The sequence below is a fragment of the Homo sapiens genome, chromosome X (genome assembly GCF_000001405.40).
Source record: "Homo sapiens chromosome X, GRCh38.p14 Primary Assembly".
NCBI lineage: Eukaryota > Metazoa > Chordata > Mammalia > Primates > Hominidae > Homo > Homo sapiens.
The window spans coordinates 108,685,579-108,700,944 of record NC_000023.11 but is presented as its reverse complement, the minus strand read 5'-3'; the positions used below and the strand labels follow the sequence as shown (position 1 = coordinate 108,700,944).

General features: G+C 36.6%; 1 protein-coding gene across 6 annotated transcripts in view; it reads right to left on the bottom strand.

Moving 5' to 3' along the window:
• Positions 3,400 to 15,366, bottom strand: part of COL4A5 (collagen type IV alpha 5 chain) — a 257,708-nt gene continuing 245,741 nt past the window's right edge. For all 6 annotated transcript variants that reach the window (XM_047441810.1, NM_033380.3, NM_000495.5 and 3 more), the window contains 6 exons: positions 14,816 to 14,914; positions 13,251 to 13,463; positions 8,020 to 8,197; positions 6,024 to 6,138; positions 5,506 to 5,678; positions 3,400 to 4,648 (listed from right to left, as the gene is read on the bottom strand). In XM_047441810.1, coding sequence (XP_047297766.1) covers positions 4,567 to 4,648; positions 5,506 to 5,678; positions 6,024 to 6,138; positions 8,020 to 8,197; positions 13,251 to 13,463; positions 14,816 to 14,914 — 860 coding nt within the window. In that variant the 3' untranslated portion in view covers positions 3,400 to 4,566. The remainder of the gene's footprint in view (positions 4,649 to 5,505; positions 5,679 to 6,023; positions 6,139 to 8,019; positions 8,198 to 13,250; positions 13,464 to 14,815; positions 14,915 to 15,366) is intronic.

Below are 15,366 nucleotides of genomic sequence, written 5' to 3'. Positions count from 1 at the left end.
TGGGACTTCCAACTGGTTGAACCCAATCAGAAGCCAGAGGGCTCAGGAACCCTCTGGGGCAGAAAGCAGGATGAAATGTGATGGTAGAGGGGGAAACAGAAGATATTTGGCATAAATTGGTATTATGTAAGCAATTTGTTATCCTGTAGGGTCAGGTGTTGGGTATGCAGTCCACTAACAGAGAAATAGATGATTAAGATTACATAAATGTGATTTTAGCCCATGTTTTGGGGAACAGGTTGGTGAGCCAGCTTCCTCCAGACAGCTACTCTTACAAAAATCCCCATTATCTGGCCTAGAATTAGTAAGATTTGGTAGTCAAAGACAGACTAGCATACCTCTTTTCCAGTATACATACAGTAAGTCCTCAGTTAACGTCCATAGGTTCTTGGAAACTTTGACTTTAAAGCTAAACGACATATAACAAATCCATTTTTTCTTCATCAACATTATAACTGAATAATATTGGACATCGTTTCCTTTAAAGTCACAGCTTCTAAAAATATATTGACCACGTGAAGTGAGGATTTACTATATTATGGTCACTGCTTATTCTCCTGGTTGAGGTTGAGTTCATTTTAGATTGCTATCCTTCATGGTGTCCTTAGCTAACAAGCATCCAATCAATATTTGTTGATATAGAACTCAGGAGACAGGCCTCTCTGGATTCAATTCCAACTTAGGAGTATTTCCACCAAACAAACTTTCCAAGCTCCCTGAATATACTCTAAAACCACTGCTCTAAAATGGAAATGACATGATTTTAAAATATTATTCAATTTATTTTGGAGCTGCCTAGGGATGAAGGTGTTTGTATAGTCCAGCCTGAGAACTGAGTTTCTCTGCCAAGGAAACCAACTGAAGTTCCGGCCAAACAAAAGTGATTGCTCCTTGCTTCTGTGTTGAGAGGCATGGGAAGTGCTACCAGAACCAACTGTTAATCAGGCTCTTAAGAAGAGAATCTAACCAACATGAAGAAACCCCGTCTCTACTAAAAATACAAAATTAGCCAGGTGTGGTGGCACATGCCTGTAATCCCAGCTACTCTGGAGGCTGAGGCAGGAGAATCGCTGAACCCAGGAGGCAGAGGTTGCAGTGAGCCGAGATCGTGCCATTGTACTCCAGCCTGGGCAACAAGAGCAAAACTCCGTCTCAAAAACAAACAAACAAAAAAACAAAAGAGAATCTTTGACAGCAAAGCTGTTCTCTTCGTTTTGGATGCAGACATTGGGAAACTAGGCCACCTCTTCAAGTACTTGCTAATGATTTTTATGAGGCTGAAAGAATAAATGAAACTTAAAACAGGGAATCTAGAGACAGGACTTTAGACAACCCTACCACCACCACCAATGAGCTCAAATCATTACACATGCTGATTCATTTTTATAGGCAATAGTGCCCTCTTGTGATTAACTTCTGAATAAGCATTTGATGGCTTGGCATGACATTGAGGCAAAGAACCTTATTGCCACTACAAGAATGAAAAAGTGTTGTTCAAATTTGGATGGGTGGGAAAAAACATCATACAATCACAAGGTGTCCAATACAACCTCCTTTGGAAGCAATGAGTGTGACACCAACATAGCAAAGATCAGGCCAATAAGCTATAAAAATAATTGGAATGTCTACTTTCTTACACAACACATGTGTGTGTATACACTTATCCATATGTGTGTGTGTGTATATATATATTACGTAATATATATATAATGGAAGTTATTCATGTAGACCTCAATTTTTCTGAAGATACATGTGCACGTGTGTGTGGGTACACACACACACACACACACACACACACACACACACACACACATACACAGCTATAAAATACTAGGATTTGGTCCTTAAGTAACATCTGAATCACGAAAGATTCATTAACTGGTAAAACCACATTTGGTACACATAAATATTTGGTAGTCAAACTATCTGATTAAGCAGAATAGTTCATTCATTTCCTGCCAATGTGAGAAAGCTATTAATTGTGTATGACTGTAAAACTTACCATAGTACTTCTGGAAATTTCACAGATGATAAAAAAGCAAAAAAAAACAAAAACAAAAACAAAACAAAACAAAACACAAAAAACTCACCATAGGTAACTAGTAGAGCAGCTAGATTAATCTTTGAATAATTCATGGCAAGAGAGGGTTAACAATATTAATGTCCTGGAATGAATTTGTGTACTTCAAACAACAAAGCAGGGCTAGGAATAGTTAGGAGATTTAAGAAACACATAGACTAGCTGCACATGCAACAATTTAAAAATTAGGAGGTTCTGGGATGGGCGTGGTGTCTCACACCTGTAATCTCAGCACTCTGGGAGGCCGAGGCAGGCAGATCGCTTGAGTTCAGGAGTTCAAGACCAGCCTGGGCAACATGGTGAAACCCCGTCTCTACTAAAAATACAAAAAATTAGCCGGGCGTGGTGGTATGCACCTGTAGTTCCAGCTAGTCTGGAGGCTGAGGTGGGAGAATCGCCTTGAACCCAGGAGGTGGATGTTGCAGTGAGCCGAGATCACGCCATTGCACTCCAGCCTGGGTGACAGAGGAGACTGTCTCAAAACAAAACAAAACAAAACAAAACAAAACAAAACAAACAAACAAACAAAGGAGGTTCTTTTTGGGCCAAGGCTTTCAACCAGCTATAAATGAGAGGGAAAGCTACAAAAAGCAAAATCTCTGGAATTAGTGTTTGCGACTATAACAGAAGGGGCACCTTTGAGTGTACACCATGTAGAAGAATCTGTGGGGCTGTGATATGGTGTTTTCAGTTACAATTACTCATTACTGACTTTATGCATGGGACTAAATGAAAAAATAGAGCTAAAATTTGCGATTGGTGGCTATCCAGAATCAATAAAATAATTAGATAGTTATCATTGTTTGGATCCTAAGTTTTACCACCAGAGATTCTAAGCTTTAGATTTTACATAGGTCCATATTAGGATTTAGAATACTCAAAATTGTTTTGGTTGTTTTATCTTTTAGCTGTAACACAAATTTTACTATGGAAGTTTTTAATATTTTATTTTTAACCAGTCCTTGACTATTTTAGAGAACTATGCGTGTTCATTCTTAATCATTAAGAATATTAGGTCACTAACCTGCTTTAAACATTATTAATGAATTCTTCCCCAAATAGAAGCCAGTTGTTTCCTTTCTTAGCCATTAACACAATGTTGTCAAGAAATTTATTATCTTGGAAATGTCTTCCAATAGGTAGTTTTCTTCATTGGAAAAAGTTTACATTACTATGTTTTCTATCTACTAACAGAGTGATCAAAGCGTGGAGAAACTGATTCCCTGGGAAGAGATGACTTGTTGATGTGCAGATTGGTAATCTATCTGTAAATGAGCAGGGGTTTTTTCCACACAGGCTGAAGAGATACACAACAGACCATCCTTACAACATATATCTTTAATTAAATTTATATTGGTGGGTTTAAAAAACATTAAGTCAGGAGATGATAGCTAGGGAAATAAGGTATCCTGTGAGTATTTATAACAAAATATTTAAAATTTAAAAAGAATAAGAAACATCAATTGGCTTTTTGTAACTTAAAAGAGACTAACCAAGTGTTGTTTCCCAGTTCTGTACAAGCAGAGGCCACAGGAGGATTCTTACATAAGAAGCACAGGGAAAAGAATTGTTAATTCTGCGTGTGTGTTTTTGTTTCTCAGAATTGTTTGGAAGAACTTTGTCCAGTCAGAAATGAGTAAAAACAAGATGTAAGAAACATTAAAACAGGGGGCATATGGTCTTAAGAGATAATCTTGGAGAATATAGCAAAAGACAAATTGCTCCATTAGATATTATAATTTGGTATGTAACATGAACATTTAAAATTCTGATTAAAGTGACTAAAAGGGTTTGTTTTTTAAAAAAAATCAAAACAGAACTTACGGGATAAAACTCAAAATAAATTTACTCTCAGTAGTAACTTGATGTAGGAATATAAGTCCTCTCACTTTGATAAACATGAATATAAAATATTGCTGTCTGTATTCTAGGGTTTCCTACATTTTCTGTAAAGAGTGATTCATGCTATGTCATATGTAAATGACTCAACATTTTGAGCTAAAAGGCTGTTCACAATATACACATTCTTTACTTACAAAGCAAAATAAGCTTAACACCTTTATATTAAAAACCCGGGATACAGCAGGATTAGTAGCACCGTGAAAAATAATTCTTCCCACAAACTGCAGTCTTTTATTTTACTCAATGTGACTCTTCTCTTAATTGAATTTTTAATGTACCATTTTAGTAACTGGGCAAAATATATAATTTTCATCTTATAATTCTTGGAGAAAGTCATTCTGGACCCAAAAAGTAAATTCACTTCCTTATTTCTTTAGTAGAAAAATAATAGAGACTTTGCTCTGGCGCATTGCTGAGGTACATCTGAATCTTCATGGTTACTAGTCAGCATGTTATCTTGATCATATATAGTAGCACCATTGACGGCAGCAGTAGTAAAGTTGGGGACAATGAGACACTGCATCCTAGGAATTTTATATATATATATATCACATTTTAAAACACAAAAGGAATTCTTCAAAATGTTATGTCCTCTTCATGCACACTTGACATCGGCTAATTCGTGTCCTCAAGTCTCCTGCTTTCAGCGTTTCTGACTGAGGTTTACTGGGAAATAAGAAATAAGACAATCAGATCCACATTTTCTGGTATTTCAATTCTGTTACTGGTTCAAATTTATAACTAAACATTTTTTGTGTGTTAAGTAGCTCTCTTGGTGACTTAATGGTTTACTTTTCAGCAATATGATCTAATGCAGTGACTAGTATGGTTTAAGAGCCATTAGTGGTCATAGATATTTTGTAACGATTCTCCCCACCACTATTATCTTTGTATATTTGTGTTTCCCTCTCATTTTCTATCTTTTTCTCTTTCTCTCATACATTTTTCTAATATTCACAGGATGAGGGAAATCTGGGCAACTGATGATGTTATGATAGATAACAAGGACCATAAGAAAAATACCAAGTAGTGATAACCCAAAAGCAACACATAAAAATAAATTTAAACTGAAAAAAATCAACAGAATGAAGTATCCTGAGGTACATACATTACGTATGTCTTGCTCATTCAAACCCTTAAATGAGAATCTTTAAAATATCCTGGGAAAGGAGACCACTGGACTGAGAGGGAAAAGACAGACTGTAACTTCAATTCCTGGGGTGGTCTCAATCTAGTTGAACAGCTGCTGACTTATTAGGAAGGTCACATAACCTTTCTTTATCTCTGTTTCATTATTGAAGGATTACTACTAAGCTATCACAAACCAAACTCACCTAATATTAATAATCAAGTCTGTTTTTCTGACCTGAGTCATGTATATGAGAAGAACAAGCAAGAATAAAGTACACAATCCAATAAATTCCTAACATTTGTTGAGGATAAACCATCCATAAATTGTCTCTTTCTTCCCTAGCATCTCTGAAGGAAGCTTTGGACCTGAATTAAAGCTATAAGCACTTTACCTGAACATGTCTGACACATCTACAGTTGCCAGCCAAAAGCTGTAGGAGTTGGCATAGTAGTTACAGGTACCCCTCCCATGACATTCGATGAAGGGAGCTGAACGAAACTCTTCCAAGCAGGAACCAGGGGAGGCTAGGGCTTGACCTGAGCCTTCTGCCCCTGCACTTGTATGCTATAAAAGACAAGGAAAAATGTGCCGCAATACCCATGTGCCATAATAGCTTAGTGAATATCCAAAGATGTGTGCTGAGCTTGGCCAAATTCAAATCTAGTGAAGGAACAGGCCCAGAGGTAAGACAATAGTATCCACACCAAGGGTAGTCAAAAAAAAGTAATAGGCAGATTATGAAAATATGTTACAAAAAATGTGTGAGGGGGAACACAGTGCTTGGATAGAAGCTGTTTGAAGTTTAAGCTTCTTATTATGCAAATGACAGGGATTCCTCATATTGGGAAGAAATGTAGATGGAATGGACAGTCAGCTATGATGACAAATGCAAGGAAGAGTGTAAAATACCATCATGAAGGAATAACCAATCCACAGAGAATCCCATCCCTGAGGACAATGGGGAATCTGGATCGTCTGACTGTGAACTGCGATCACCACAGCTGGAGCTTCACATACTGCACATCTGGTAAAGGAAAAGGAGAAGGAACATAATCTACAGAGTGAGCATGTGAGAAGTAGCCATCCTGCTTCATTGGAAGCCTTCTTAGTATGGAAGCCGATTAATGTCTCTTTCAATGATCACAAAAGGTGAAAAAATGCACTTTGAGGATTGCATTTGCTAAGTATTGTCTCCCAGTATACATAATAAACTGTAAACTTTTTTCAAAAAACTGCAGAACCAGTGCAATGGCCTTTTAATATTCCATTATGCCCTAAATGTCTATTCATACTTGCTATAGTCAATGCCTCAATTGCCGTAAGAGTTTGGTTTGGTGTATTGCACATACTACTTGTTGTCAAAGTACTCAATTGGAGGGGAGACATTTAGTAATGCTGAAACTGTGGTAAGAACAATGTCAGAAAGACTGGAAAATATAAGAAACGGACGCTTTCTCAATCTCTACTCATTATTCTTGGTCCAAAGGACATTTATAAACATTTGACTATATCTGGAGAAGTACACCATATCCAGAATGCTGGGCAGGTACCCAGGCACTTGGAGATGTGGCTGAAATCTATAAAATCAAGTAAGATAGCAACAGAATGAATATAGCTGAGACTTCCATATCTTTAATAAAAAACATGAGTGGACCTCTTGACATATTACTGAGGCCAGTTTTGCAGTTTACCTAACAAAATAGTTAATACATTTAGACAAGCTTTTACTCCCAAGAGTTGGGACTGACAAAATTGTACACACACACACACACACACACACACACATACACCCAAATTCCCAAAGGATTCAGGAAAATGTATTAAAAAGGGCACCATGAATTTGCTACTAAGGCTGAACCAGCTTTAATCTTTATATTTACTATCAAAGGAACGAGAATTTCCAGCAATTCATCCTTTATGGTTATTGAAATCCTGGGTCATGATCAGAATAAAAACGGCAATAACCAACATTCCTAAGAGATTGAGTTAAACTAGGTTTCAAAATGGCAAAACTCTAAGAGATTTCTATTAATGGTATCACCCTCCTCTTAGTTACTCATGCTCCAAATCTCAGCTACCACCTTCTTCCCATAGCTAATCAACTGTCAAATCCTATCTAGCCTAATAATGTGATACATGTACCCCACTGTGAGTTCCAATTTACTCACATCAGGGCTATAGCAATACCCTTCAATCCAACTGGTCTCTCTACCTCGAGACTATCCCTTTTGTAATCCATGTTACACATTGATGGCACTATAATCTAACCTGAAGTGTAGCTCTAAAATATTTCAGGGCTCCTTGTTACATATCAAATAAACTTTAAACTACAATTTGGTACAGAAGGCCTTCTACCATCTGGGCCCAAGCTAACTTTACAATCTTTTCTCCCAACATAACCTTTACATACTACATCCTAGACACATTGTTTTATTACCCATTGTCATTTATCTGCCTAGTGTATATTTCCCCTTTATAACTGCCTGTGCCTCAAGTCCTTCTAGTCATTCAAGGACTGACCAGTTCAAGACATATTTTTTCCATATGGCCATCCCACATTTCTCCAGTTGAAACTAAACATCTCTTTCCCTATGTTTTCATAACATTTTTATTATATCTATTATAGAACTTAGCCCAAATCTGATATATATTAGACAAATTTATGTAATAAATAATTACTACACTGTGCATTATCTGGCTATTACACTATGTCTATCATGGGGGCCTGGTCAAAAGCAGACCCCCAATAAATATGAGTCAAACTAAATACTTAATTGAATATTAAGAGGTACCTCTGTTCTACCTAACCTAGGAGGAATATCATCAGATTGTTAGCTTTGGACTCAAATCTGACTAGCTAACTAACTGGGGATTGGTAAAAGTCACAGCTAAATCAATGCCTTACCGACTAATGAATGGCTGGATGCTCTGGCCCTTTAGGGGTTGCATGCTCATTGGCATGGGCTCTGGGGTAGAGAGCCAGTAAGAATAGTCATTTCTTGAAGCAAAGTTGCAAACATTATTGATGTTGCAGAACATGAAAGGCATGGTACTAAAGCGACGAAGGCAGCTGCCAGCCGTCCCTAGAAAGATTTGGAGAGAAAACAGTAAAGGACTGCGTGATAATGATACTTTGGTTTCTTCTAAAACAATAGCAAACAGCCTTTCAAGGAAACTTGCCAGCCTTTCATAGGTAATAAATATACTATATTTCTTAAGTCTAAGATTTACTCATATTTTAACATTTATAAAATTAGGATGTGTTTAATAAAGTATGTTAATATTTATTGTGGTAGCTCATTATATATTCCCTAATGCTGTTTTTAAACTAGTGATGCATCTTATAAACAATGGTGTCTTATGGAGGATATTTAGTAATTCATTGTGTACAAGTGAAGGACACATACTGAGTCCTTACGATATCTTATCAATATTTCGTGCTCCAGGCTGCCCTCTCTTCTTCTAAGACTTCCTCAGTATGTATCTTGTGTGAATCTGCAATCTTCTTAGGCCTAGGGACAATAGTAATGCTGGCCAGTGTGCACAGCCACCACAGTCAGGTTTGAAGAATACGTAAAAAGGAAAAAAATAAGACAGGAAGGAAAGATGTGAGGGGAAAACAAACAAACCAAAAAAAGAAAGAAACTAATCTTTGAAATTCAGAGCTAGTAGGGACAAGAGAGGTTATCTTTACTTGTGATCAAGCCTTTCTTTTCTCATTTACTCACAAAAGAATGATGAAAAATGCACTCTCTTACACTTTTGAAAGTTAACATATCTAAAGTTTTGATATCTAAATTTCATCGTAAGTTTAAATTGATACTGTGCCAGTATTAAGATTTTAGCTATTGTCTCTCAGCTCCACACCCACCCTTCGGTATTCCACTTTGTAATAGCAGGGACTGGGAATTTGCAAACCACATTTCTACCTTGCCAGTTTTCATTTATGGTGTTTTGTGAATATTGATATCTAAGAACAAACTTTTATATCACTCTTTTAAATGCATCCAATATAATGATCTGAGATCTAACATTAACCATTATAGAAAATATATAAACTTGTCTTTAGCAGTTGGAAATTATACATTGTTCCTTCTACATTTAAAAATTATATTTCCATTCCACTTTTCTCACACAGTTTTTTCCTAATGTAACATATTTTTATTTTTGAAAGTTTTTTATTGATCATGCTATCATATTTCTCAAAAATTAATATTGAATATACCTTTTTAAAACTTTGTGACTATAAGACTTTACGTGTTAAATGTTTTATTTTGACCTGTCATTGTTATTATTAATTCACAACTGATAAAAATATATGTATTATAAATTTTTATATAATTATTACAAAAAAACTTTTATTAGAAACGTATTTCTTAGAAGGTTGGATTAAAAGTGAATTACAGAGCTTGAGTTAATGGAGACTTTAACAAAACCATTAATTTTTTATTTGTGCAAAATTATGGGGCACATGAACATTTTTTTTATGTATATAATCCATAGTGATCAAGTCAGGGTATTTAGGGTGTCCATCACTCATGTACAATATATTTTTTAAGTATAGTCATTCTCTTCTGCTATCAAATATGGAATTAATTCCTTCTATCTTACTGTATGTTTGTATCCCTTAACCCACTTCTCTTCATCCTCCCCATTCCCCACACTTACCCTTCCAAGTCTCTGCTACCTGTCTTTCCACTCTCTGCCTCCATGTGTTCAAATTTTTAGCTCCCATATATACGTGAGAACATGTGATACTTGTTTTTTTTGTGCCTGGCTTATTTCACTTAAGATAATGACTTCCAGTTCCAACCATGTTGCTGCAAATGACATGATTTCATTTTTTATATGGCTGAATAATATTCCATTGTGTATATATACCACATCTTCTTTATCCATTCATCCTTTGTTGGATACTTAGGTTGATTCCATATCTTTGCTATTGTGAATAGTGCTACAATAAACATGTCAGTGTAACTATCTCTTTGATATACTATTTTCCTTTGGGTAAATATCCAGTAATGGGATTGCTGGATCTAACGGTAATTGTATCTTTAGCAAAGCTGTTATTTTGAATTATCCCTTTGAATTTGTCTGTCAGAGGTTTTCATACTTCAAGGCAATGTGCAAGAGTATGACTCTTACAAAGTGGGGAATGCATGACAGTGAAAGGAGACAAAGGAGACATGGGAAAGGAGATTGCCCAAAGCACATCTGCTAAAGTCAGATTGACTTTAGGAGAAAATACATATAAAAGTCGAGGAGTTGAAATTTGATTTTTAAAAAATAATGCCTCTGTGCATCATGGAAATTCTTCATATATTCAAAGGGGTATGCTTATCTCAGACTGAAGATGACTGATAAAAGACCAATAGATCTTAAACCTGTATTATCAGAATTATTTGGAATTTTTATACAATGGATTTGGCATAAGACTAGGAGTCTTAAAAAATTCCCTAGGTTGAAAATCATTGATTTAGTCTAATTTATCCCTTTCAAAAACTCGTTAAGAAAAACCTGACTGACTCACAGTCATGTAAGAGTGAACAACATGGGAAAATTTAAAAAGAAATGGATTTAGAATTGGCAGGTGTTACCTCCATCACTTTCTAACTGTAAGTTATTTAACCTATTAGCCAGTCTCTTTGTGTATAAAATGAAAAAGCAGAATATTTATATACATTTTTCTTAATCATAGTTGTGTAAATTAAATTAGACAATGGACATGAAAGTGCTTTGTACATTATAAAGTAATTTAAAAAAACCTATTCTACTGCCTAATTTGGGACAGAGCTGAAAATATCCAGTCTCGTAAGGAAAAGAAAGGTAAATAAAAGGAAGGCCCATAATGATGGAAGTATCTGGAGTATCTGGTTGCACCTGTGGCTGCCCACAATGATGCAGAATTCTGGGTTATAGTCTCCAAATTTTCGAAGAGAGAGTGATCCCATATACTCCCAATGCCCTCTATACCCCATAGTTATAAGACTTTAATAGACTAATGGTTCTCAGTATGTTTTTCTTTTCTCCCAGACAGAAAAGCTTTAGTATTTAATCCATCTTCTCTGTCTTCTTTCTTACATCCTATAATCCTTCCACTAATTCAACACAGACTGCATTTATTCGATCAGGAGGTAATTGTTTCTTTAACATCAAAGTGACAGCTGCCTGTATCTTTGCTTAGTCATCAAGATACTTCCAATGTGATCCTTGTGTGAGCCCCAGCAGAGCCTCTGCAATCCAGGACCATTCCTAGGATCTTGGGCTCCGTCATGGCCTTCCTGTGTCTGAGGCCTAAACTGTACCAGAGTCAGGGCCAGTTTATAGATTCCAAATCTGATTGTTCTTATTAGAGAAAATACATGGATTCTGAAAAGTTATAATTACATGCTGATAGCAGATTCCATCTTCTAACTGCATTACATTTTTGAATTCGTAGTGCTCAAAACTTATAATGGTTCCTCTGTTGACCTGGTAGGTTAGGGATTTGAAGTTTAAAGTTTGATTATAAGTCTGACAGTGTAGAGAGAATGAACAAAAAAGAAATTTATAGGAGAAAGACTAGAGAAAATTACCTGAAGATATTAAATTAAATTAATTATTTAGATATTTATTATTCGATTAAATTATGGAAAGATAATTTAATTACTAATTTAATGAAGATTGGTCAATTATAAAATTTAAAAAGATGTAACCAAGTGAAAAGGAGAAAGAAAAGTAGCAGAGGAAAGTTGAAAAGGAGAAAAAGGAAATATAAACGGAAGAAAAAAAGAAGATGGAAAAGAAAGCTATTGGGCAAACCCTTACATTATTTGGTTTCATAAAATGGCCTATGACCACTGACTTACATGTAAGTGAATATCCTTACCCTGGTGGGCCAGAACTGGTGTGGCCATATGCCTTGGAAAAATAGGGAGTAAAGCTGACCTCCGGGGTCTCTGCTGCTGCAGAAACATTTCCACAGAATGAATGGCCCAGACAATGAGATCTCAGGAAGCTTCTCATCATAGAGATCCCAGAAACTGGGAGCCCAGACTATCTTCTTAAATGTCTTTATGGAGGCAAAGGGGATAGTCAGTCTTAAAATAGGCAGCCCTGCCAGGTGCGGTGGCTCACGCCTGTAATCCCAACACTTTGGGAGGCAGAGGTGGGCAGATCACGAGGTCAACATTTCGAGACCAGCCTGGCCAACATGGTGAAACCCCGTCTCTACTAAAAATACAAAAATTAGCCAGGCATGCTGGCGGGCGCCTGTAATTCCCAGCTACTTCGGAGGCTGAGGCAGAAGAATTGCTTGAACCTGGGAGGCAGAGGTAGCAGTGAGCTGAGACCACGCCATTGCACTCCAGCCTGGGCGACAGAGCGAGGCTCCGTATCAAAAAAAAAAACAACACAACAACAACAACAACAACAAAATGCAGCCCCAGGTAAGACAATGGGACTTCAACATCCAAAGTCAGAATTCCAGGAAAAGAATTCATGGGGATGGAAGAGTCCTTGAGAGTGATTTAGTCCCCTCATCCCATCAACCTAGCTGTCCACCCCAGTATAGAGAAGATACATGGGAACACCTTAAATGAACTGGATTTTGTACAGAAATGTCATACTTTATATAGCTTTAAATGACTCCAGCAATACTTTATAAAGCTAAGGCACTTATTTTAGGAACTACAAACTAGCATAATTAAGCAATGACCTTACTTTCTTTGATCTATGAACCAAGATTCTCTTCAGAACTTATGAACTTGATGAAGACCAGTTTCAAAGATGAGGTAAGTATCTCCCAGGAATTATAAACACTGCACACTCAAGCAGCTGCTATACTGCAAAGAGCCCAGGGAAACTGTTCCCTTAATAACTAATCTAACTAAAAGTAAATGTGGCCTTTTTGAAATGATCTGCTTTAGGCCAAGAATTGTACCTCACAAGAGCTAATTAATGCTTTTAGTTTAAGGTTAAATATTATTTATTTAAAAATCATAGTGAATATATTCAGTTGCCTTTGACATGGTTTTCAATTCGGAAGCCCCAAAAGAATAGAGAGAGGCACTTTGGCCAAGGCTACTCTAGAACCCAACAGGATTTCTGAAACAAAAACAAAAGGCACAGTAGGAAATTAGATATTGATTATCTCACCCAAGTCTTGACCGTGGGCTCTTTTATTTCCTTGTACATACAGGAGAGAAAAGCCTTCATAGACCTGAAGTGTTCCCTGTGGGCATTGTGGTGCATCCGTTGTCTGGCTGTGGCGTGTAATAAGAAATCCATGTGCAACAGAGGAGGTTCCAGGGGGACCTGGGGGACCTTGCAATCCATCTGGACCAGGGGGACCATCCAAACCACGGGTACCTATTTCCACGAAATAATCAGTATACAAGATTAAGTAAGCTCTGATCCACTCTTATGGATATTGACAAAACATTATGACCTCATTTGACTAGTTAATTTATTTGATATTTATAGAGTGTCTATAAAGGCATTGTCAGATATCATGGGCTAGGAGACAAATAAAATATGCTTATTTGGAGAGTCTGTATGTTATTTAGTCTCTTGTTGTACTAAAAGAATCTGAACCCCATGGTCAATTTTCAGCCTGCTGTTTTGTTCATCAATGAGAAAGGAAGGGTGTGGTTGCCATCAATCTGCCAGCTTCATTGCTGAAAAACATTTTCCTTTGAATCCGTCTGGGGGAATTATTCTCAGGCATACCTTTTTGTGTAGAGAACAGGCAGGGCATTCTAAAGAAGTATTTTCAAAATGCCCATTTTCAATCCACCACTGGCTTCCCTTCCTGATTTAGCCTCTTGGTTTGAGTTCATTTAATAATTTTCTGTATATACAGGCCTTTGGACAGTCTGTGTATAAATTTTCATTTTAGGGAAACTTCACAGAAACACTTGTGATGAAGATGACACTAACTTGTTATTTCCCTAGAAATATAGCATTAATGAAATGTCAGGGCATTGACTCTAGGAAGGCTATAGGTATTACCACTCTGCTGTGTTGCCACTGATATTTGAAATACAAACTCTTTATGTTTATTTATTAGTCATATTTATATAATCTAGAGTTGTTAACATATATAATGTATGATCCTCTATTTCTATTTTAGAAACCTTAACGTTAAAGTATTTTTTATTTCAAGTTGACTCAAATTCTTTTTGGAAGTAGGTTGAGTACAAATTGAAAATCTAACAGATACCAGACTCAATATTATCAGGAGCACCTATTAATGCTCCTAATATCAATTTATCATCTCAATATGAAACTTCACCATGACTCTTAAAGGTCTATGGCAATCACTTAAACTGTTCATTTATATTTGCTGCTCTTTATGAAAGAAATTACAGCCTACTGCGATATTTTCAAATGTGGAAATATTCACAATAGTTTCAATATGGTCAAGGGATTTAAATCAACATATTGAAAATTTGCTGAACAAGTAAGTACAGTGAGTGCTTGGAAAATTTAACTGAGTTTTCCACTGCTCTAAACACAAATAAAAGCAATCTTGTATGCTTCTCTGATAGTGACAAATCTCCTTATTATGTGCTTTCCTATTTTCCTCAGGTCCACATTCACCAGTCAGCTATGCTAACATCAAGAGAAGATCTCACAGCTCTAAGTGGAGGCCCTATGTCCAGAGGTCTCTCAGACTCAAAGACTTTCCCTCCACCAACAGCATGTTTTACTTGTCTTACCTGGCTGTCCTGGCAGACCTGGGTCTCCTTTGCGCCCTCCTGCACCATCAAAGCCAGGGAGTCCATTGCGTCCAGGATCTCCTGGAGGGCCAGTTGGACCTACAGGAAAAGAATGAGGCATTCAAATATGAGTAGAATATTTTCACATCTGGACAGATCTAGGAGACATAAGGTTCTCGAGACACTGAATTCACAATTTGGTTTTGTCTTAAATCCAGAAAAAAGAAGAGATAACTCAAGTCCAGGACCAAAGAAGCCAACAAGGATTTAGCTTTAGTTTTAAACAATCCATTTGCTTCTGGGATGCTTTTAATGGAGTTGTGCTCTCTTTGTCTTCAGAATCAGACAAGAATGTAAGTCCCAACTTTCGTTTTCTATTCCACCATAAGTTACTGCCAGGTATACTTTGTTTTTGATAAGACTGTCACTTGATCACTTAATAAGAGCAAAAGACTGAAGTTAGTTCTAGTTTTCTTTTATAATGATTAATGAAAGTTGGCTATAAACGTAGAGTCAAATGGCCAGCTAGACACCAGTTAGTTTAAAAGACA